Raw genomic sequence first — 23798 nt, 5'->3', positions numbered from 1 at the left:
TTTCTGCATTTTGTTAGAAAACTGCTTCTGTTGGGCCAGTAATTTCAATTTGCTTTTAGGAAAATAGTTATAATATTTGCAATCATAAATAAAGATTAATGACAACAAGTCAAAATGTGGAGCTACCAGCTCGGCCACCAAGAAAAAGACAAAAAATTTATTTTCTGGAGTAGGGAGTCTATATTATCCTTGGGTAGCACTGAAGACAGCAGTGAACTGTGCTTTTGGTAATCCTGCTACCACCAAAACTAGAAGATTTCCCTCAGTTAATGCCATTGATTACATGTTGTGTCTTAACTCCCCTGTTCGACCTCAGCCCTGATATGCCTTGGAGGAAGCTGTCCCTATTAACTACCTGCCTATCATACTCCCACTATGTTGTACAACCCTCTTAGGTATTCCCATAGCATCATTTTACTTTTTACTGTTCTCACTTTTCCAGTAGACCCCTTTGAAACCGGGGGCCAAATATTGTTCATATTTGTGTCCCTAGCATCTAACACAACTACTGGCACAGAATTGGCATTTAATAAGTAATTGTAAGAGAGGACATATGTAGAAAAGGGAAGGAAAGAAGGAATCAATTTGCTAATTGCAGTAACCAGTGGATTATCTTTTACTTTCTTTGGATGCTATATTTTAGTACTTGGTGTTTTTGTAGTTGCCCTGATTTGTATATTTATGTACTCGAAAAGTACTAGTCTTGTATTGATTTAGGTAGACTAAATCATAGTAGGTAAATAACAAAATATCAGTAGCTTCCTTTATCTTTCTAATTTTTCATCTCTCCAAATCTGACACTTGTAGAGCCTTCCTTTTGTTTTGAGATGAAGTGAGGGTCCTTACAGAGGGCAGATTGGAAGCCACTTATCAGGAGTGATTCTCCTCAGGGAAAAGGGTAGCAAAGACTGGCTGCTACATAATTATATGAAGTACTTACATAAAGTCAGGAGTTTAATTTCAGAAATGCAACTAGTTGCAATCAATTAATTAAATATTTTTTTCATAGGCAGTAGGGAGTCCAAGGAAAATTCAGAAAGAAACTAGAAAATCAGGGAACAAGGACACAGATTCTGAATACTTGCCATCAGACACCTCTGATGATGATGATGATCCTTACTATTATTATTATAAGTCCAGGAGAAATCGCAGTAAATTGAGGAAAAAGCTTGTTCCATCCACAAAAAAAGGAAAAAGTCAACCATTTATCAATCCCGATTCACAAGGTCACTGTCCAGCTACTAGCGACTCTGGAATAACTGATGTTGCTATGTCTAAAAGTACATGTATCTCTGAATTCAACCAAGAACATGAAACAGAGGACTGTGCTGAATCTCTAAATCATGCTGATAGTGATGTACCACCTTCTAATACCATGAGTCCCTTTAACACCTCTGATTACCGCTTTGAGTGTATATGTGGTGAACTTGATCAGATAGATCGTAAGCCTCGTGTTCAATGCCTGAAGTGTCACCTGTGGCAACATGCAAAGTGTGTGAATTATGATGAGAAAAATCTGAAGATCAAGCCTTTTTACTGCCCCCACTGCCTTGTTGCAATGGAACCAGTGTCAACAAGAGCAACTCTGATCATCTCTCCAAGTTCCATCTGTCACCAGTGGGTGGATGAGATCAACAGGCATGTGAGGTCGTCATCTCTTCGAGTCTTGGTAAGGCCACTTGGACTAAAGAGGGAGAGGAAAATGTAAAGTTTTGCTTCTTCATGATAGTTTCCTAATCTTTGTTTCTTTGTGGTTTATCCTCAAAACTAACTGAATGATTTAATAGTAATGTTAAATCAAAGCTTAAAGAAAAAAATTGAGACTAAGAACTAGAACAGTACAATGTTATTCTTTTCTAACATCAGAATTTCACCAATTAAAGCATTTTGAGTATAAAGATGTGGAAGCTTTTTAAAAATTCTTGAGTATGTAAATGAGAAATTCTTGGTATAAGCATTTATAGTCTTCAGAGAGAAATGCAATCCAAAGGCAGCACTGTGTAATAGGAGCTACTTATCTGATCTGCCATCTCTTAGCTCCAAAATCATCCTCTAAAGCTTCAGTTACCTCAGCTGTAAAATAAGAATTTACTTATACAGCAAATCTTTATTGACCACTTATTATGTGCCAGGAACTGCTGAGTTTTAAAAATAGTATCCAGTCATTTGTGAAGATATGATTTTGTCAAGTACTGGGCACATAGTAATGTTATTGTTTCCTAATATTAATACCCTTCACTAATTTCATTCTTCCTTCTTTCCATGCAAGTGTTACTGAAGGTTTTTGTATTTCATCCACTTTACATAGGCATGGAGAATACTGTAATAAGCAAAACAATTTTTGCTGTTAAGAAGCTCTATTCTGTGTGGGTAGGCAAAGCTTTGAGTCTTAGTTCCATCAGTTTTGAGCAAGTCACTTTATTTTTCTTATGTGTGGGATAGGAATATTAACAACCACCAACAGAATTATTGTTGAAGTTTGGAGATAATGCTTAGCACAGTATCTGAAACATAAAAGGCATTTCATAAATAATAGCTCTTATTGTTCTACTTTTTCATACCATTGTGCTTTCACATATGCTATTGATTCCATCCTCCTACCTACATATAGCCCTTTTCTCTTTTTGCCACCTATGAGAACCTTTAAGATATACCTCAGGTTTTAACTCCTCTGTGATTTTACCTTCTCCGCTACAGAATTGGTCTTTCCACTGTGATGCTGTCATGTTCACATTTATTACAGTTTGTTGCACATCAGTTATGTAATTCATCTTCCACACTAAAACATGTCTTTCTCCAAACAGGTATGGGATCTGTCTCATAGCATGAATGCTCCTAAGAAAATAGAGAGGACTTAGTAAGGGTATAAATGAGTGAATATTTCATTGCCTTTAGTGAGCCTTTTTGCAATAACTGCCTGTATTGATTATTTCCTAGGTATATCAAGGAGTGAAGAAAGATGGCTTTTTACAACCTCATTTTTTGGCAGAACAGGATATAGTTATCATTACCTATGATGTACTGCGTTCAGAATTAAATTATGTCGATATCCCACATAGCAATAGTGAGGATGGGCGTCGCCTACGGAACCAGAAGCGCTATATGGCTATCCCGAGCCCCCTGGTAGCTGTGGAGTGGTGGAGGATCTGCCTTGATGAAGCTCAGATGGTTGAGTGTCCCACAGTAAAAGTGAGAGTTTCTGCAAAATCTTTTGAGGGCTGGGGAAGAAGGGTGAAAAGGAATTAGGGGACCTTGAGTAGTTTAATAGTTTAAGCATAGTTAACCTGTAGTACTGATATTGGTCAAAAGTTTGTTATTAAACACTACTTGTGCTTTTCTCTTGTGCTTTGAACTACATAACCCTTTGAAATTAGTTCTGTACTCTGTGACTCATTGCTCTATATGAAATATATATTTTTCAGTAAGATGTCTGTTTATATATGATGCAGATCAAAGTAAACTGTGTTTAGGAACTTCTGTAAGCATTTCTGCTAACTGGGAGCTCATCGTGTAGCCTCTGATAGCTTTGAACCAAAGTTGACTTTGACAGTCTTTTAAATCAGAGGCCAAATGGTAACAGAAAATACTACTTTAGAGGACAGAATTTTGATTCAGCCTTTGAATGTCATATGTCTTTATTCTGTTGTCTTTGGCCAGTCTGTAACCTGAACTGAATGTATGAATCATGTCTGTTAGTATATCTGGAGGATAGAGTGATGCAGGGCATGGATCAGTTATTCAGGGGGCTTTTTCATTTTGTACGTATTTGAACTACCCCTCTGTTTTAGGGGACTGCGTGGCAGCCTCCCACTAATGAGAACCACTGTACTGGAAGATGGTCCATTGAATATGACATTCAACATTGAGTGTGATAACTGTTAAATAAAAGTAGGTACATCTCACCAGAAGTGTAGCTTTTAATGGGCTGTTTTTCATGAGTATGCCTGACTTCTGTGTTCTTTCTGTGGTTTTCTGGATTTCATTTTTATTTCATTTTTCCCTCTCATCAGGCTGCAGAAATGGCCCAGCGTTTGAGTGGGATTAATCGATGGTGTATCAGTGGCACTCCAGTACAGAGAGGATTAGAGGGTAATGTATGGTTTCCTCACATATTGCATGCATTTGAAAAGCTTCATTTTTTAGAGAGAAAAGTATTGTTATGCTTAACCTTTGCTGCAGTCCCTATTGAAGTGATGATTCATGTCTTTATAGTTGACTCCTAATAGTTTCAAGCATTTATCTTTTTAAATGGGACTCAGGTGATTTTTCTGTTTATGTATATGAGGACCGATATATATTAAGAGGTCTCATTGCCTTAAGTTGAACAATTATTGTACCTGCCTAAACAGCATAGATATAGGTCTGAATTAAAATTAGAGTTCCAAAGTCATAGGTAGAAAACAAAGAATCTAACCCAAAAAGAAACAAAGGGTGGGGGGGGTGGGGAGAGGCAGAAAAAGAGAGAAAGGGAATTAATTTCAATTAACTGTGTCTATGAAAATGGAGACTATAATTTTTATTGTGTGAACCCAGGAATACTAGGGCCATAATTTTAGTAATTATATAAGTTATTAGTAGTCTTATAATGTCACACTATATGTATATACCGTTATTGTTTCTACCATTCCTTTACTTGAGCATTTAGATTGTGTCTAGTTTTTTCCTCCTCTCCACACGTGCATTGAAATGATCCTTCTACCTTAATCTTATTCAATATCACAGTAGAACGGACACTGCATTTCTAAAACCTTTATTCAAGTTGTGAATATCTAAAATGAAAAGTTTAAATCTTGTTTTATGTATTTCCCTAAAAGTTGTTATTAAAGTGTAGTTAAATTACAAAATTTAAACATACTTGGAGTTCTGTAGTAAATACTCATCTTCAAAACTTATCTTTCTGAAAATCCAAGTTTTCGTATGTTTTCAGCAGCATAACTCACTCTGCTAAAACAAAAATCTCAGTATCCATTACTTTGACCTTTAAAAGCAGTGTTTTCCAATGATTATTTTTAGGAGGAAAAGGTTTTCTAGTAATATTTTCTAGTATATATTTAAATATTTGCATCACTTAAATGTTACATTTAGATACATATTTATAGAATAATATTACGTTCAGTAAAGGACCACATTTAGTGGTCTCCTTTCATGTTTGGAAACTGTCGAAATTGTAAATGTTTAGGCGTTAATAAGGTCTGAGATCTTACCCAGCTCAAAAGTTAGCTGAGAGGGTACAGAAAAGAGTACATGACTATCAGAGTTACTTTTTCTCATTTTAATGTTGAGAGAGTATGAGCAATAATTTCTTAGTTCCTGGGTCGGTTTTTTTGGAGATACAAGATGTTGGCAAGTGTTTTGAGCACCTGTCACCATTCAACAAATTCCTAATTTTTTAAAAACCAACTTTAATGAGCTATTTGGACTTCATTGAGATATAAATGACATATAACTAAATGTTTAAAATACCACATTTGAAAAGTTTTGACATGTATTTGTAGCCATGAATATATGTGCACAATAAGGCAAGTTTCGTCGTGTTCCAAGTCAGCTCCAAAAGAGCTTTTCCAGACTTTCTAGAATTTTGTCTTTCTTCCTCACTTCCATATCTCTCTGGTATCTTTCTGATTCTTGCAATTAAATGTTTTTTTTCTAGTTGTCACACTAGGAATGTTAGCCTGCTCATGACTTACTCTGTTGTATTTGGACATGGAAGTCTCATTTGTTTTCTTTTTGTGCTAAACTAGGGTTTCTCAACATTGGCCATATTGACATTTGGGGCCAGATAATTCTTCTTTGGGAATTGTCCTGTATGCTTTAGGATGTTTAGCTTCTACCCACTAGATGCTGGTAGCACTCCTACAATTCTGACACCCAGAAATGTCTTCAGAAATTGCCAGACTGAAATAATGTCATCTACTTGGGATGTCAAATATGGAAGAATGCTTCCTAACTCCTTCCACCCGCCACACCCTATGTCTACATAATGTATTCATTTGTATAATATAGAAAGCATTGGCTTTGGGGAATATAAAAACTGGGGTTTACATCCGGACTTATTAGTTGTATGTCCATAAACAAATTCCTTAAACATTTAAGTCCTTATTTTTCTTATCTATAAAATAAGGTGTTTTAAAGATGAATTATGATGAAGTATACAAAGGATTTAGCACAGTACCTAACAAATATTAAATATTCAATGAATGATAGCTGCCTCTACTTCTCCTTTTGTTGTTTTTATTTTCCATTTATGTAGTCATTTATTTATTTTAATGTCTTCGAAAGTATTGACTTTAACAAGTACTTTGTGATGCATTTATTATTTCATTTGTTATTATTTATGTATTTGATTTATTTCTTTGTGAGGTAGGATAGAATCTCAGTCAGATTTTTGCTGTTAGGATACCACAGACTGGATAACTACAAAGAAGGGAAGTCTGTTTAACTCGCAATTCTAGAGGCTGGCGCATCTAAGAGCATGACACTGGCAACTGGCGAGGATCATCTCATGGTGGAAGGTGGAAGGGAGTACATGAGATAGAGAGAAGCACCAGGGGCTGGACTCGCTTTGTAACAACCAACCCTTGAGATAACTAACCCGCTCCTGCAATAATGACAATTAATCCACTCATGAGGGTTCCACCCTCATGACTGAGTCACATATAATTAGGCCCCACCTCCTAATATTATTCACTGGAGTTTAAGCTTCTAACACGTGAACTTTTGGGGGATACATTCAAACCATAGCAGATGATGAGCAAAAGTACATACGATCCCTTATCTATTGAGCTTACAGCTTAGAGGAGAACATACATTTCTTAAAATGTTTCTTAAATACTTAGATAAATATTAAATTGCAATTGAGATAACTTTCACAAATGAAAAAAAGGAAAATTCTAACTATAACAGGTTTCATTAAAAAAATAGTTTGTTCTATAACATCATACAATTGGGATGCTGACAACTGAGCTGTGATCTGAAACATTAACATGAGCTAGGTAAAGAGGAAAAGGAAAAATCCTCTATTGTAGAGGAAACAGAAAATATTAATGTAAATAGATCATGTGGCAGAAATAGCGTGGCTAGAATGTAAAGAGCTAGGGAGATGATGGTGGATAGAGAGACTAGGTAGGTAGAGATGGGACCATGGAGGATGTTATTTGCCTTGTTAAAGAATTTTATTTTTTTTCTTAAGAGTAGTAGGAGCTATTGAAACGATTTAAACACAGTGGTTGGGGGTCATTTTGTGGTTAGATTTGTATTTCAAAAGATCACTCTAGTTGCAGTGTGGAGAGTGGCTTAGAAGAGGGTAAGAGTGGATGTTAGGATATTAATTGATTGTCTATAAGAAGTAATCTAGGCAAGTGGTGCTGGCACTTTTGATTTGGACTAGGTTTGTCCTAAAGATAACAGAAAAAAGTGGATAAGGCAAAATTAACAAGCCTCAGTGACAGATCAGGAGATACCAAGATTTCTGACTTGCATAAATCCATGAATGGTGACTGGTTTCCCCAGTGAATACTACCAGAAAAGAAGCATGGGCCAGTGGCTCACACTTCTAATCCCAGCACTTTGGGAGGCTGAGGCGGGTGGATCATCTGAGGTCAGGAGTTTGAGACCAGCCTGGCCAACATGATGAAGCCTCGTCTCTACTAAAAATACAAAAATTAGCTGGACATGGTGGCAGACGCCTGTAATCCCAGCTAGTCGGGAGGCTGAGGCAGGAGAATCGCTTGAACCTGGGAGGCAGAAGTTGCAGTGAGCTGAGATTGCACCGTTGCCCTCCAGCCTGGGCGACAGAGCAAGACTCTGTCTCAAAAAAAAAAAAAAAAAAAAAAAGATGAAGCATGTGTGCAAAAAGATTATGAATTTGAGATTTCGGCAAGTTGAGTTTGAGACGGCTTTGGGACCTCAAAAAAGAGGTAACATATAGCAATTGAATTGATTTGAGCTAAAAATATAAATCTGTGGACCTTTGCATAGCAGTGATGCATTGGTTCTTTCAGATGTTGCTAACTCCCAGCAACCATCAAGGTAACTTAATTCAATCTAAATATTTGTTGATCATCTTCAGAATAAGTGTTGTAGGTGTGGGAAGGATATTTTTATTATTATTTTATGGCTTCTGAAGAGAATATATGCCCATTGTGAAAAAATTTGAACTGTACATAAAAGTATAAAGAAAATTACAACCCGGACATGGTGGCTCACACCTGTAATCCCAGCACTTTGGGAGGCTGAGGTGGGAGGATCACTTGAGCCCAGGAGTTCAAGATCAGCCTGGGCAACATAGGGAAGCCCTGTCTCTACAGAAAATAAAAAAATTAGCCAGGCATGGTGGCACACACCTATGATCTCAGCTACTTGGGAGGCTGAGGTAGGATCACTTGAGCCCAGGAAGTTGAGGCTGCAGTGAGCTAAGATGGTGCCACTGCACTCGAGCCTGGGCAACAGCAAGACCTTGTCTCAAAAAAACAAAAAGAAAATTACAAAATTACACTCATAGTCTTCATTTGAAGATCTTTTCTATATAGATGTTTATATATTTGAGCTTATTCTGCATGCACAATTTTATATTCCTTTTTTTTTTTCCACTTCATATCCAAAGCAGTTTTTCATTAAGTCCTCACAAATAAATATATGGAAAACTGTTTAGGGTATGTTAAGTGGGCAGGTGGAGGGGAATAGAATATAAAATTGACTGTGCCCAGTAAAGAGATAAACAAGAAGTCCCATGCTCTAAAGCTAACAAATACAAGGCATGCTGAATCAGAAAAGAAAAATAGTTCTATTTTGTGGGATTACTATAATTTATTTATTTGAGTCATTTTTCTACATATTGTTGCTATGAATATCACTGTGTAAGTAAATCTTATCTATATTTTTATTACTCTCTTAGGCTTCTTTTCTAGGAGAATTATTAGATAAAGGGTATGAGAAATATTGCATCAGAGAATATTCTTCATGTCATCTGTGTGCTTAGAAATTCTTTTTTCCAATCCAGCAAATCTTGCATCTATTGGTTTCAGAGCATGGTATTTCTTATATATGTCTTACCAAGTACATTCAGTTGAGTGGTTTTTTGGTTTAACTTCTGATAACAGTTTCAGATTTTTGAATTAAGTATAAGCTGTATGTAATGAATGGTTGCATAAATCTAACATTATTTTAGCACCTAGCCCAAAACCTAGGGCAGAATAGATGCTCAATAAGTATAAATGGAATTGGAATTGAATTTCAGATTTAAGAGCCTATACAGCCTGTATTTTAATTCATGGAAAGTTCTATGTGCTGTGTAATGTCTGTAGAAAAGCTTCTGCAAACTAGTAATGAAGTAATAGAGTTATCCTCAATGTATTTTATTTTTTCTTTTCAGATCTTTTTGGGTTAGTGGTCTTTCTTGGTATTGAACCTTACTGTGTCAAACACTGGTGGGTTCGACTTCTCTATCGGCCTTACTGCAAGAAGAATCCTCAGCATCTCTACAGCTTTATTGCCAAGATACTGTGGAGGTCTGCAAAGAAAGATGTGATTGACCAAGTCAGTACAATAAGTTTTTATTGATAAAGGTACTATAAGAGAAAAGAAACAATTGGGATGGAAAGATAAATTTTTAGATGATATCTTTTTTTTTTTTTCTGCTCCTTTTCACAGATCCAAATACCACCACAAACCGAAGAAATACACTGGCTCCACTTTTCTCCAGTGGAAAGGCATTTCTATCACCGTCAGCATGAGGTGTGCTGCCAGGATGTGGTGGTAAAACTCAGGAAGATTTCTGACTGGGCTCTGAAGCTCAGCAGCCTAGACAGAAGGACTGTCACCTCTATCCTGTATCCATTGCTGAGGCTCAGACAGGCCTGCTGTCACCCACAGGCTGTTCGTGGAGAGTTCTTGCCACTCCAAAAAAGGTTTTATTATCAACTTTTTTTTAATTGCAGTTGGTATATCATAATAGACAATATTTCAGGCCCACGGTTTCATTCAGAGACATGTAACTGAGTTGTCAGTTATCTTTAATGGTGTAGAGGGTTTTCTTTGGTATGGAAGCTCATTTGCAACGGAGAATTACCAGAATTATTTTCATGGTTTTAAGCATTTCTCTTTTGCAGTGGGTATGGTGTTTTTTTGTTGTTGTTTGTTTTTTTTTGTTTTGAGACGGGGTCTCACTCTTTCCCAGGCTGGAGTGCAGTGGTGTGATCATAGCTCACAGTGGCAGCCTCAAATTCCTGGGCTCAAGTGATCCTCCTGCCTCAGCCTCTCAAGTAGCTAAGACTACAAGTGCACACTGCTACAGCCAGCTACTTTTTATTTTATTTTATTTTATTTTATTTTATTTTATTTATTTTTTGAGATGGAGTTTCGCTCTTGTTGCCCAGGCTGGAGTGCAGTGGCACAATCTCAGCTCACTGCAATCTCTGCCTCCTGGGTTCCAGCAATTCTCCTGCCCCACCCCTCCAAGTACCTGGGATTACAGACATGTGCCACCAAGCCTGGCTAATTTTGTATTTTTAGTAGAGACGGGGTTTCATCATGTTGGTCAGGCTGGTCTTGAACTCCAGACCTCAGGTAATCCACCCCTCTCAGCCTCGTGCTGGGATTACAGGCGTGAGCCACCACGCCCGGCCTGTTTTATGTTTTTGTAGAGACAGGGCCTCGCTATGTTGCCTGAGCTGATCCTGAACACCTGGCCCCAAGCAGTCCTCCTGTCTCACCCTCTCAAACTGTTGGGATGACAGGCATGAACCACCACACCTGGCCTTGAACACTTCTTTTAAAATTAGGATTATTGTTGAGGTTTTTTTTAAAATTATTTTGTTATTTAGGGTTTTGGCTGTACTCCAGATATGAAAGGCTTTTGCTCTTATTTTATTTCATAGTTCCCACATCAGGGAGTTAGATTACCGTTAAATATTTTCTATCTCTCTGATTATTCATTCTGAGAACATTAAGAAATTTGTGTTCATAATACTCTATTGTCCCAGAAAGTTTTTGTGAATCAGACTGCAACTCAGGAACTGGCCTTTGGCTATAAGAGATAGAAAGAGGATTCAGTTTTGTCTTTGCTTTTAAGCAGGTTATAGACAAATAAGGGAAATGATGAAAATTATAGATTTCTAAAATATGAAGTGAACATAGTAAATTTCAAAAGATATATGAACAAATTGCTGTGTACAGTTAGAGTCCGAAAACAATTTATATATGAATGGTTAAGGTTAGACAGCCTTTTGAAGGAATGGCATTTAACCTTAGAGGATCTTCATTTTTTACTGATTAAAAAAATATTCAGGCTCAAAGAGGTTTTCTAATTAAGTTGCAGTGCTGGGATTCAGAGTCAGTCTTACATGTTAATACCTGTAATGTTTCAAATATGTCATGCTGTACTTTGTACTTGAGGAAGATTTTTCTAGTTTCATTCTCCCTTTACTGAAATGGGAAAAACTTAAAGAAGGATGTGATCAAATAAAGGTACTTATGTGGGAAAAAATAATGGTAAAAATTGAGGCGAAAAAAAATGCTAGAGATACCACAAAAACTGCGAGTCTCATACACTCTTGATCATGTGAGATATAACACTCCCACTGAAGTCACACTTGGGATTTTCTTTCTAGTTTTGAACAGTCTACCTTTTCTTTTAGCACCATGACAATGGAAGAGCTGCTGACATCTTTGCAGAAGAAATGTGGAACTGAATGTGAAGAAGCACATCGACAGCTAGTTTGTGCTCTCAATGGCTTAGCAGGCATTCATATTATTAAAGGTAGAAGGTGATTGCTTTATCTCTGATTCTTTCAAACACTTCCTGAGGAAGGTTAATTATAGAAAAAATAGATTTTGATTTTTGGGGGGGGGATTTTTCCCCCAAAAAGATACTCTCACACACTACTGAATATAGTTTAAATAGGTTCAACTTAATATAGAGCAGTTTCATAGAACGTTTTGAAAACCTTCAAAGTTTACATATGATTTAACCAAACATTTCCATTTTTAGTTCTTTTTTAAGGAAATGAGGATACACAGATTTCCCTTGAAGTTGTTAATCTTAGACTTTAATAGTTTAATAGTAAACAACTGTAAACAGTCAAAATGATTAGAAATAGAAAAATGGTTAAATTTTGACACATTAAAGGAATTATTGTTCATTGGTTTAAAAATAATAGTTTGTGGGATCATTTTTTCAGCAAATATTTGTGTGCCACATCTGATCTAGGTAACGATGATATGGTAAATAAAGTAACTCTGATCTTGCAGACCTTAAATTCTTACAGAGGGTGACAAGTACACACACACCCTCCCACACACACACACAGAACGTATATGTGTAAAGTTATAGTGTTATATATTATGCACAAAATTAAAGCAGGTTAGAAAGAGCATCTTATATTTACATGGAAGAGTATTAGTGGCTTCTCCATCTCTCACGGATCACTTTTTTTGCATTAGGTCTAATATCTTACAAACTGTCATTTTGTATATTTTGCCTGTTATTGTAGTTTTTGCAGGGAAGAGTAAATCCATTGTCTGTTACTCTATCTTGGCTGGAAGCAAAGTTATATAACTGGCACTTTTAATAAGCACCATATAGACACACCTTTCCATATAAATATGAGAAACATTAAAACTGTATTCCATAGATTCAAGAGTGAAGATGAAACATGTTAAGTAGAAACCTTGAAAACATGCAATCAAACTTCTGGAAATCAAAATTTCAATGTCTAATATAGAAAATTCACTTAATAAATAGAAGATTAGACACCGCCTAAGAAAAAAATCAATAAAGTCAAAGTATAGAATAGCAATAGAAACTCTCCAACATGAAAAACGAAGAAGACTGAAAATTTTGAAAAGAGCCTCAGTGAGGTTGTGGACAACTTCACATGGCCTAATATAAATGTATTGGAGTCCCCAAAGGAAAAAAAAAAAAAAGAAATATATTGTGGGTTTTATATCATGTAAATGTACAATGTGTAAAAGCAATGATACAAAGTCTGTGTGGGGAGACGTGGATGTATAATATTGTAAGATTATTATCCTATATATGAAGAGGTATAATATTATATGAAGGTAGACTGTGTGTGACAAGGCAAAGAATGTGCACCCTACAGCCACCACTTCAACATACAACAAGGAGTTAGAGGTAATAATCCAAAAGAATAGATAAAAAGAAAAAATAAAAAATCAGGCCAGGCACGGTGGCTTGTGCCTGTAATCCCAGTACTTTGGGAAGCCGAGGCAGGCAGATCACAAGGTTAGGAGATGGAGACCATCCTGGCCAACATGGTGAAACCCCGTCTCTACTAGCTGGGTGTGGTGGCATGCGCCTGTAGTCCCAGCTACTTGGGAGGCTGAGACAGGAGAATCACTTGAACCCCGGAGGCGGAGGTTGCAGTGAGCTGAGATTGCACCACTGCACCCCAGACTGGGCTACAGAGCAGGACTCCATCTCAAAAATAATAATAAGTAAATAAATAAATAATAAATTAAAAATCTTCAAAAAAAAGAAAAAAGGGTGCAAAAAACAAATGAGATGATTAGAAAACAAACAGCAAGATGGTAGATTTAAAAACAAGCTTATCAGTGATCACGTAAACTGAAATGGTCTAAATATCCCAATTAAGAGGCCTGGATTGTCAGACTGGATTAAAAACAAACAATAACCATCAATATGTTCTCTATAAGAAACCTACTTTATATTTAAAGATGCAAATGTAAGAGGATGAAAAAAGATATGTTAACACTAATCAAAAGAACGATAAAGCCACTATATTTCTATCAAGTAAAACAGATTTCTTATTAATACTGCCTGCTAACTGATTGTACCACTGGAACTTATAAAGTAGATTTCAGAGCAAAGAATATTACCAAGGATAAAGGGTGTTACTTTATCACTAGAGAAAAAAATTCTAAATATTAACGTACCTAAAACAAGAGTTTCAAAATAAATACTAAAAACTGATAGAATTATAACGAGAAATAAACAAGTGCGTAATTATTGTCAGAGATTTCTACATCCCTCTCTCAGTTATGTATAGAATAAGTAAAAAATAAGTGAGGGCATACATAGTTCAAACACCGCTGTCAACCAGTTGACCTAATCAGTGTTTATTGACTACCCAACCAAAGAGGAATATACATTGTTTTCAAGTACACATTAAATGTATATGAAGATAGGGCATATTCTGGGCTGTAAAACAAGGCAGTAAATTTCAAAGGATTCATGCTTACAGAGTGTGTTCTATGCCCACAGTGGTAGATACCAATAACAGAAGGAAAACTGGAAAGTCCGCAAATGCTGTGAATTAAATAACACACTTCTAAACCTTTGGGTTAAAAAATAAAAGGGAAAGTAGGAGATACTTTGAAGTGAATAAAAATGAAATATCAAAATTTGTGGGATGCAGCAAATCAGTTATTAAAAAGAAATTCATAGCATTAAACATGTACTAGAAAAGAAAAAAGTTTCATATCGGAGACTTCAGCTGCTACCTTAAGAAATTTAAAAAAAAAGAGCAAATGAAGTACAAAGAAATCAGTTGCCCAAAGAAATGTGTGCTTTTTGTAGAATATAAATCTTCTTACATTAAGCCTCTTTGAGTAGCCCGTCTGTAGTTGTTAGCTCTTTAGCATAATAGAACCAGAAATGGAAAGTGTCTCTTATTGTGCTAGATACTTGGGTAGAGTTATAAGGATTCTCAGAAGCTGAGCAGAAATAGCTCTAGACAAGAACTGAATAGGGTGGGCCTACTTACATGCTGCAGTTGGAACCCTGTGAAATGGTATATATTGTTCAAGATTTCCGAACTTCAGTGTCTTTGTCAATAAAATATTACAGGTGCTTTACTTACCTCAACTATTGTTCTTAATACAAAATGTAGAAGCACATTGAAAACGTTATAAAAACAGAGATGAAGAATGATGTTATTGGTTATGGTAATATGAAGGTTACCTCAGATTCTTACCACTTTCAACCTGCTCACAATGTAAATTCTGTTATCAATATCTAATAGAAAAGGGCCTATTATTATATATTCGTGTTAAATTGTTCACATATAGTACACGTAACTTTGTGTGCAAATCTTCCCTCTAGGGCATTCCCTAGAAAGTCCTCAATTTAGCTAGCAGTGTATTGTTGATTATTAAGAGAAATCCGCCACCAGAAAGTCCATTAATAGAGGATATGTTCCTTCTGAATTGTAATTTTCAACTTAATTGTAATAGATTTGCTGCTTTTAGTTTTTATTAACTTCATAGTAATGTGTTAAACAATATTCATTTTTTAAAGTAACATTACATATATAACTTACATAAATTAGATTCTTCTAATGTGAAGATCAGACAGTGAAGGTCTGACTTTTAAAAGAAATCTAAAATTAATTTCAAACTCTAAAAAGATTTGCTTATATTATATGTAAATAAATACGTATGATACATTAATACATATTCTGAGATTCTCCTTGACTGGTATTAAACACATTTTATTATTCCAATTTTGAACATTGTGTTTTCTGCAGATGATTTTCGGAGAAAATTAGCTTGACAATATCAAATCCACCAGTTTTCTTAGAAATGTTAGCGCCATCAAGTGGCTGAGAATGGGTATTTCCAAATTTGACTTAAACCTTTATAACATTGAATATGGGTTTTTTTTTAATCTTCCTCAGAAAGCATGTCTTTTTAAAAATAAACATGCAAAACCAGGTATTATAACGAATAGATAAAATTCAGCTGCTTTACATTATAGTTTAATCACTATACCTTCTTTAAAAGGTATGGTAATTATGAAGAGAAAATTGTTAATTGAATTATTCTCTACAAATGGTAGTATAAATACTGATAGAATTCATAATGTCCTTTGAAAAGCTTTAATCAAGACTCTTAACTAAAAAAAGAGAACTCACTGTGAAGATAATTGAATGTTAATGCCTACGTTATAAAGTAACTTTATTATTGTGAAAATAATCTTCTCCCTTATTTAAAGGGAATAGAAATTGGCTGACTACAGTTCTTTGATAATGTGTGTTTTAGAAAGCTTTGTATTAGCTAACTAATAGAACTAGATATAAAGCAATGGTATAAGAGCTATTGTTGCAAAATTTATTTTAAATTAGGTGTTTTGCACAACACTGAATATACATAATGCCACTGAACTACACACTTAAAAAGGGCTGAGATGGTAAATTTTATGTATATTTTACCAAAATCAAGATATGTATGTAAACTTATATATGAGCTAAAAACAGAACCAACTTCAAAATTTACAAAGGTTTGCATATATATATATATCTCATTGTAACTATGAACATGGTCCTAATTACATGATATTCATAAAACCAGCTTGAAGTTTTTTTTTAAAAGAAAGTATGTGTGATACTTAGGAAAAAAACTTTCTCAGCAAATAAAAGCTAGAACATCTTGTACCTTTTTTTGGTATGGATTGCATGGTTTTGCCAGTGTTAGGTTTTTACTTTAATAGTATTTATAATTTACCTGTCTTGAATTTTACAAGCAGCAGTTAAGATAGATTCTATTATTCAAGCCATTAAAAATGTTCATCTCTTACTTTATTGAGATATCATCAAACTTTCTGTGTAAAGAAGCAGATAATACATAGGCATTGCAAGCCATAAGATCTCTGCGCAACTATCAGCTTGGCTGTTGTAGTACAACAGCAGCCACAGGCAGTATAAAAACAAATGAGCAGAGCTAGGTTCTAATAAAACTATGGACCCTGAAATTTAATTTTCACATGTCACGAAATATTTTTTTTGAATTTTTTTCAACTATTTAAGAATGTAAAATTCATTCTAAGCTGATGTGCCCAACAGATAGGCAGAGGGTAGAAATGACCCATGGGCCATACTTTGCCAGACTGTGCTTTAATCGATACTTTTTGAATTGCTTTATTTGAATGAGGTGCTGATTATGAACAGTAGAAAACAGCATACATCTCAGACCATGATTTGTGTGACCAGAAGAAGAGGGAGATCCCTGAGTTTCTGACATGAAGTTTTTAATTGCAAATTATTTGGCCTAATACCAAGAACAATAATAGCTACCAAGAATACTATATTTTTCTGATCGCTATGTGTGGGTTGGTTGGAGTGTCTTAAATTTTTTTTTTAATAAATAATCTATAATTACCTTAAGTTTATCCTTAATTTCAAACATCATAATGACTACTGATTGCCACCTTTTAACTTCAGCAAGAGGAAATTTTTTTGTCTAAATTAAAAGTTTATCCAATAGCATAATCTCAAAACATTACAAACGTTTGATTATAAACATATTTCAGTATAATTTTAAAATATTATAAATGTAATATAAGAACATTATATTCCATGGAATTAAAAAAGGAACTGTACTCAGCCTTTTTTAAAACTTGGGCAATCATATTAATACCAAGTCAAATTTCTTTACTTAAAAAAAGTTATAATCATTACATTTTATTTTTACAGTATTCTTAAATAATGGACAACTAGATGACATTGGGAACTAAATATGTGACTCTCGTATGCTTTAAATACATTTTAATTCTTTAGGTGAGTATGCCTTGGCAGCAGAATTGTACAGAGAAGTGTTGCGCTCCTCGGAGGAACACAAAGGAAAACTCAAAACTGATTCACTTCAAGTAAGTAAAGACTAAACAGTTTCATAGGTATTCTGTTTGTTTTTTTAACAAAATAATTTTTCTGAATGTTTAAGAGGATAAATGGTAACAAACAGTCATAATCACTGGGTGAAACTTGGGATTCAGTCTTCTCAATAAGCATTTTAGATGATTTGTATGTACACTAACATTTGAGAATCACTACTATTCCATTCAGGGAAGTTTTGGGCACAAGCCTGACAAGGTAAGTCTATATAAGCTACAGTTAAAAATAGCTCAAAGTACTTGTACTTCCAAGAGTAGGTCAGTTTTATCACTTTGACATATGAATATCAACATATTTATTCACATGGTTTTCATTAAAAAGAAAAGGAACTAAGCAATAAAATCTATCTAATGATAATTTTTAGAGGTCTTTAGGGAGATTTGGATATTTTAATTATAACACTTATTTCTCTTTCCCTTCTTGGATCTGTCATTGACTCATATAGACAAGGCTCTCTAGCTAAATAAGAAGTAGAAATGGGTTTATTAATTTTGGCAAGTTTAGGTTTGAGTCCCAGGTAAGATGTCATTACCATTCACAATATTGACCTTGGGACTGACTAACATGTTCACAAGTACCAGAGTGGATATTTAGAGGAACATATGGAAAAGTGGAGGGAGAGGAAAAATTAAATATAAATCTGATATTCTGCATGGATAAGGGTTACAAAAGGCAGGTCCTAGACCTTAACACCCTGCCCTTGAGTAAAGAAAACAAAGTAGTAGTACTCAGATTTTTTTATAGGAAAAGTATTTGGTGATATGATCTTAATGTGGTGTTAGTGTTCTGTGTGCCATATTAATATTAGGTTCTCTTCAGAGTCTTCTGCATTGACTGTCATAATTACTGCCTTTGATATGTTTGTAGAGACTTCATGCTACCCATAACTTGATGGAATTGTTGATAGCCAGGCACCCAGGGATACCACCTACCTTGCGTGATGGCCGACTTGAGGAAGAGGTAATTATTTTTTTCATTCTGTCTATAAAAGTATATTTTCTTCAAACTTTATGCTCCATATAGTTGATATATCCTAGGACATACAACATACAAATAAATGTAATCATGTTTTCCTGTTACTTTGATGTTTCGAATTTTGTTGTGATTTTGGGTAGCAGAGAATGGCAGCAGTACGTATTATTTGGCTTCTCTGCTGATCTACCTGCAGTTATGTGATAAATGCTTGTTGTAGATATGGCTGTTGGTAGCCAACAGAATGGGATGTAAATAAATGAGTTTTAAAAAAGAAACTTTGATCTCATGGCAGATCTACAAAAGAGGTAGCTTAGTAAATATACAAACTTTTGCACTTTCTCCACATTTCTGTGTATTTTTTAAGGGGGTAAATAAAGTCAAATTTTTGGTGGTAGTTCTCCCAAAGAAGTTTCCTCTACAAAAAGTGTCGCCTCTTTTTGAAAAGAATGACATCGAAAAGAGTGATATTATAAATTATTTTACTATAAATTGTTAATAGCTTATTATGCAGATTCTTCCAGGGATTTTTGCTGTTGTTAAACATTAAAGAGCTAAAATCAAAAGAGTAGGTATGTTTGAAATGTATTGAACCTGTAAGTGGAGGCTTTATTTGAGTCAACAGGATAAAAAATGAGATTATATAAATAAGCACAGCCTTTTTGCACTGGTTGTTTTGGGGGCGGAGGTGCCCTGGTAAACTATTTTAATTAACAAAAATTTTATCTATTCATGAGTAGAGACTGATGTTTTGATGTATGTAGACACTAGAATAGCTAAATCAAACTAAATCAATTACCTCTTTATTTTTATTGCATGCATGTGTGTGTGTGTGTGTGTGTGTGTGTGTAGTGAGAACATTTAAAATCTACTTTCTTAGGGCTTCAGCATATGAATTTTGGGGAAACAAAATTCAGTTCCTAACACCTGTGTTACTGTGTATTCTCAAGGATTATTTTTAAACTGCAGTAACTAAGGAATTTTAATAACTAAATTAGCCAAATTTTAGAAAGGTGTCTTTGCTTTGCCTATCATTTGAAATATTACTGTTCTTTTTTTCCCCTCTTTGCTTATTCTAACTAAAAAAAAAAATTAAATAAGAAATTGGCAAACAAATATTCGGTGTTTCTGAAATTTTGTTACTTGGACAAGTAAATTTTGTTAACTTCCATATATAAGGAATTTTTAGCGTGACTTTTATGTTCTCTACAGTATACTTGGACTTTTATGTTTAAATGCAGTTAAGTAGCTTTAAATGTATAAAATGACCCATTCTTCTTGAAACATCATACTGAATTATATTCTAGATTGGGAGTGAAAGTTTATATTCTCTGTTTCAACACAGGCCAAACAGCTGCGAGAGCACTACATGAGCAAGTGTAATACAGAAGTTGCTGAAGCCCAGCAAGCTTTATATCCTGTGCAGCAGACCATCCATGAGCTTCAAAGAAAGGTATGCCAAAATGCAGTGTTTCTTACTTGTATTTGCCTCCAGATATCATTTTGAGTTTTGGTTTTTTGGTGGGGAGAAACTTGAATTTCTTATACATTTTGAAATCCTTAGCACCTAGCACATTGCCTGACCCACAATACAAGTTTATTTTACTGTTAGCAATGATTTATTGGTTGAGTGAACAGATGCATAAATAAGTCAACTATTTTGAGTTCTCTTTCTTTTGAACTCATGGGTTTTCTCTTACCATGAGTATATAACAGTTGTCTTTTGAAGAAAGTAAAGACTTCTATAACCTCCTTTTTATCTTGTTTCTGAGATGTTTTAAAATGTTAATACATTAGAACCACAGGTATTTTTCCTGCAGAATATATACCACTTGTCATTTCTAAAATTTCAGTTTTATGAAATCAGCAGCAAAATCTAAAGAGGTTACACAAATACACTTTTATTTTCAGTTTTTAAATCAGGTGTTGCAAATTTTTGTCTTTCTAATTCATTCATTATTTAGTATTCTGGGATATAATTTTGTGAGTTATTGTGGATTATTCATTAAGTAGAATCTGGTTCAGTTAGTTAAAGATTAGAATGAAGGCTTTCTTTCTTATGCTGATAAAGAGACCTGTGACCTTTTCACACATATAGATTGAGTATTGAATTTTCATTTGGCGTAAACAGTTTTTTTAGTTACAGCTTTGTTATATAAATGCATTCAATAAATTCCCATTTATCCAGAGTAGTTAGGAAATAGGGGTTTCTCTTTAATTATATTTTCAAAAGAGGAAGCGAGCATTGTACATGGAATATGTATACTCGTCTCCCCTCTGTGATAGTCCCTTTGAGAATAGCATTTATTACTTTCTTTGAATTTTGGCATCACCCTGCCCAGTGATGGAAGCTTAGTGAGTACTAAAAAAAATGTATTAATTGATTAACTGCTACCTTTTTTACAGATTCATTCTAATTCTCCTTGGTGGCTAAATGTGATCCACAGAGCAATAGAATTTACTATTGATGAGGAGCTAGTTCAGCGAGTGCGAAATGAAATAACCAGCAACTACAAGCAACAAACTGGCAAGCTTTCTATGTCAGAGAAGTAAGAAAACAGGAAGAAAAAGTATCTACTCATAATTTTAAAAGCAAAGAAATCCTTGTATTTTCTAGTTTCTAATTTCTCATTATTACCGGCTTTTTTTCTCCATTCATAAACCTATACAGACACATTCATACTTCTTTTTTGCAGCCTTTTTTATTCACAGTTTATCAAAATGGTTATAGGTACTATAATTGGGTTTAACTCCTAACTGCGACCTACCTTTGTTACTTTAGTTACTTTAATATTTTACACTTCATAATGTGAGCACATTAGTAACTATTGAAATTATACAGGAAAAGTGCTTGGCAAAGTGCCTCGTATATAGTGCATAATTACAGATTTAATTAAGTATATATACATATATATATATATTCAACCAAGGAATATAACTCTTAGCCATTTTTCTTCTTTCTTCCCAATATTCTGCTTTTATGTTTCATCCTGCAGGCACCTCCTCATATAGAGCAAGGATGTCAGGAAGGCTATCTGTAGTCAGGCTTAAAACGGAAGAATGTGGCAGTCGTACACTTTCAAAGATATCTGAGACAGACATACATTTTTCATGCTCTTTTTCAGTTCCTGAGCACAGGACTATCAAATTTTTTTGGTATCTTTTACGGTAGACAGCCCAATATTATACTTTGAATACATTCTGAAGGAAAACTCACTCAAATGTTGCTGTTAAAAAAAAAAAAAACAGCAAACAGTTTCTTTAACACTTTGTTTGGCAACCATTCTCTGAATTTGAGGAAATTGACCTATTATTCTTTTCTTTGTATTGTGTGTGGTGCTGGTGTGGGAATCAGGTTCCGTGATTGCAGAGGTCTTCAGTTCTTACTTACAACACAAATGGAAGAGCTAAATAAATGCCAGAAGCTAGTAAGAGAGGCTGTAAAAAACCTGGAGGGACCTCCATCTCGTAATGTTATTGAGTCTGCAACAGTCTGTCACCTCCGACCAGCCAGACTTCCTCTCAACTGGTAGGTAATAGAAGAAATCATACAATGAAATGGTACCATTTCTTTAAGCTAGATTTCTTAGAGAAGAAACAATTGACTCATATAGTAAAGGTTTTTTCATTTTAATTGAGACAGAAGTAGAAAGAGATGTATTAATCTAATTTAAAGAAAAATAAAGTCTCAAGGACAAGGTATGAAAAACCATGTGATTTGTTTTTTCTAAAATGGCATATCTAGTGGAAAGAAAAATGAAGTCAAAATATTAAGCTTCTCCTTAAAATTACCAGATTGCTGGTTATGTTTGTGAATATTTCTGTTAATCTCTTTTTTTTCAGCTGTGTCTTTTGTAAAGCTGATGAATTGTTCACAGAGTATGAATCAAAGCTATTTTCCAACACGTAAGTTCTCTATTTGATTATTACCCATCAAGAAAATGAAACATTTTGCAAGACTCAGTTATGTGATATAAGACTATGTTTTCCCCCACAGTAACCTTTATTATATTGTTTCTTTAATTAAATTGATTAGTACACCTTTGGTATTTGATTGTTTAATATGCCCAGTTTTACCTATCCAGAAGTTATCCCCTAAATGTTCATAGTGTAGTAATATATAATTAATTGAGATGCAGTTTTGTGGAGTGGTAAAATCCCAGACTCTAGAATCCAGTGGATTTGAATTATACAGATTTTGCTAGCATTTTACTGCTATTCAAGGTAGAACTCATAATGTCCGGCATAACTTCTTCAAGAATAAAGAATGACACAATCAAATATGTTATTACTTTAATGAAACCATAAGTAAACATTGTCACAAACACCTGGATTCTCAGAGGGAAGCTTGTTAGAACAATAAATGTGTCCACTTTCATCCAGGTGTATTACTATTCTATTTTAGGTCAAATCTTTTTCTGTTATTACTGAAGTAAATAATACATTTCTTCATGTTTCTGTCCAAATTCTGTTTATTTATCTCCAACAGATATAACTTCTCTAAAATAGAAATTTTCCTCACATATTTCCTTGCCAAACGTTCACTTCTGCATGTCAAGGAAGAAAACAAGATTTTTGTGTTGTTATGGCAAATGAATCAGTAGCTTTCTGTTTATTACAGTGGATATAATAGAATTTAAAAAAAAAAAAACTGGCCAAATTTATGATGTTTTCAGCTTTTTCAAGGTTGCTTTGGTTTTTCCAAAGACTTGCAAACATGTTCTTTTAGAACTCACATTGAAGGTTGCTTTTCACTCACTGATACCAGTTACTGTTGTTTTGTTCTGGTATGTTTTCAGAGTCAAAGGCCAGACTGCAATATTTGAGGAGATGATAGAAGATGAAGAAGGACTGGTGGATGATCGAGCACCTACCACCACCCGGGGTCTCTGGGCAATAAGTGAGACAGAGCGATCTATGAAAGCAATACTATCATTTGCAAAATCACATAGGTTTGATGTTGAATTTGTTGATGAAGGAAGCACTTCAATGGATCTCTTTGAAGCATGGAAGAAGGAATATAAGGTATAGTATTTTAAAACTTCCTTCCAAAATTAAAAATTCTTCTTTTTTACATCAATTTTAACTGCTACTTTTTTCTCTCTCCAGTTTTTTAAAATCTTCTTTTGAGATTGAGGTGGCATAATTTCTCTTTGCCTGAAATGTAACTGTTGTAAT

The 23798-nt window shown here is 34.6% G+C and overlaps 1 protein-coding gene across 18 annotated transcripts in view; it reads left to right on the top strand.

Annotated features, from left to right (window-relative positions):
- The window catches only part of SHPRH (SNF2 histone linker PHD RING helicase), a 106521-nt gene that overhangs the window by 19547 nt on the left and 63176 nt on the right, over positions 1-23798 (top strand). For 15 of the 18 annotated variants that reach the window (XR_942393.4, XR_942390.4, XM_047418600.1 and 12 more), the window contains 13 exons: positions 1010-1669; positions 2938-3189; positions 4011-4089; positions 9371-9534; positions 9649-9905; positions 11634-11755; positions 17535-17623; positions 18516-18608; positions 19966-20073; positions 21027-21169; positions 21976-22149; positions 22464-22526; positions 23420-23645. Coding sequence is in view for 16 of the 18 variants with exons in the window: in XM_047418600.1 (XP_047274556.1) it covers positions 1010-1669; positions 2938-3189; positions 4011-4089; positions 9371-9534; positions 9649-9905; positions 11634-11755; positions 17535-17623; positions 18516-18608; positions 19966-20073; positions 21027-21169; positions 21976-22149; positions 22464-22526; positions 23420-23645 (2430 nt within the window). In the remaining 2 variants the exon portion in view is untranslated. Of the gene's footprint in view, positions 1-1009; positions 1670-2937; positions 3190-3788; positions 3889-4010; positions 4090-9370; positions 9535-9648; positions 9906-11606; positions 11763-17534; positions 17624-18515; positions 18609-19965; positions 20074-21026; positions 21170-21975; positions 22150-22463; positions 22527-23419; positions 23646-23798 lie in introns of those variants that run through there. The other 3 variants (NM_173082.4, XM_047418604.1, XM_011535722.4) reach the window with 3 other exon arrangements.

Source organism: Homo sapiens, chromosome 6, assembly GCF_000001405.40.
Source record: "Homo sapiens chromosome 6, GRCh38.p14 Primary Assembly".
In the NCBI taxonomy this organism is placed as follows: Eukaryota; Metazoa; Chordata; class Mammalia; order Primates; family Hominidae; genus Homo; species Homo sapiens.
The sequence above is the reverse complement of the archived record's forward strand: the minus strand, read 5'-3'. Positions and strand labels throughout refer to the sequence as shown.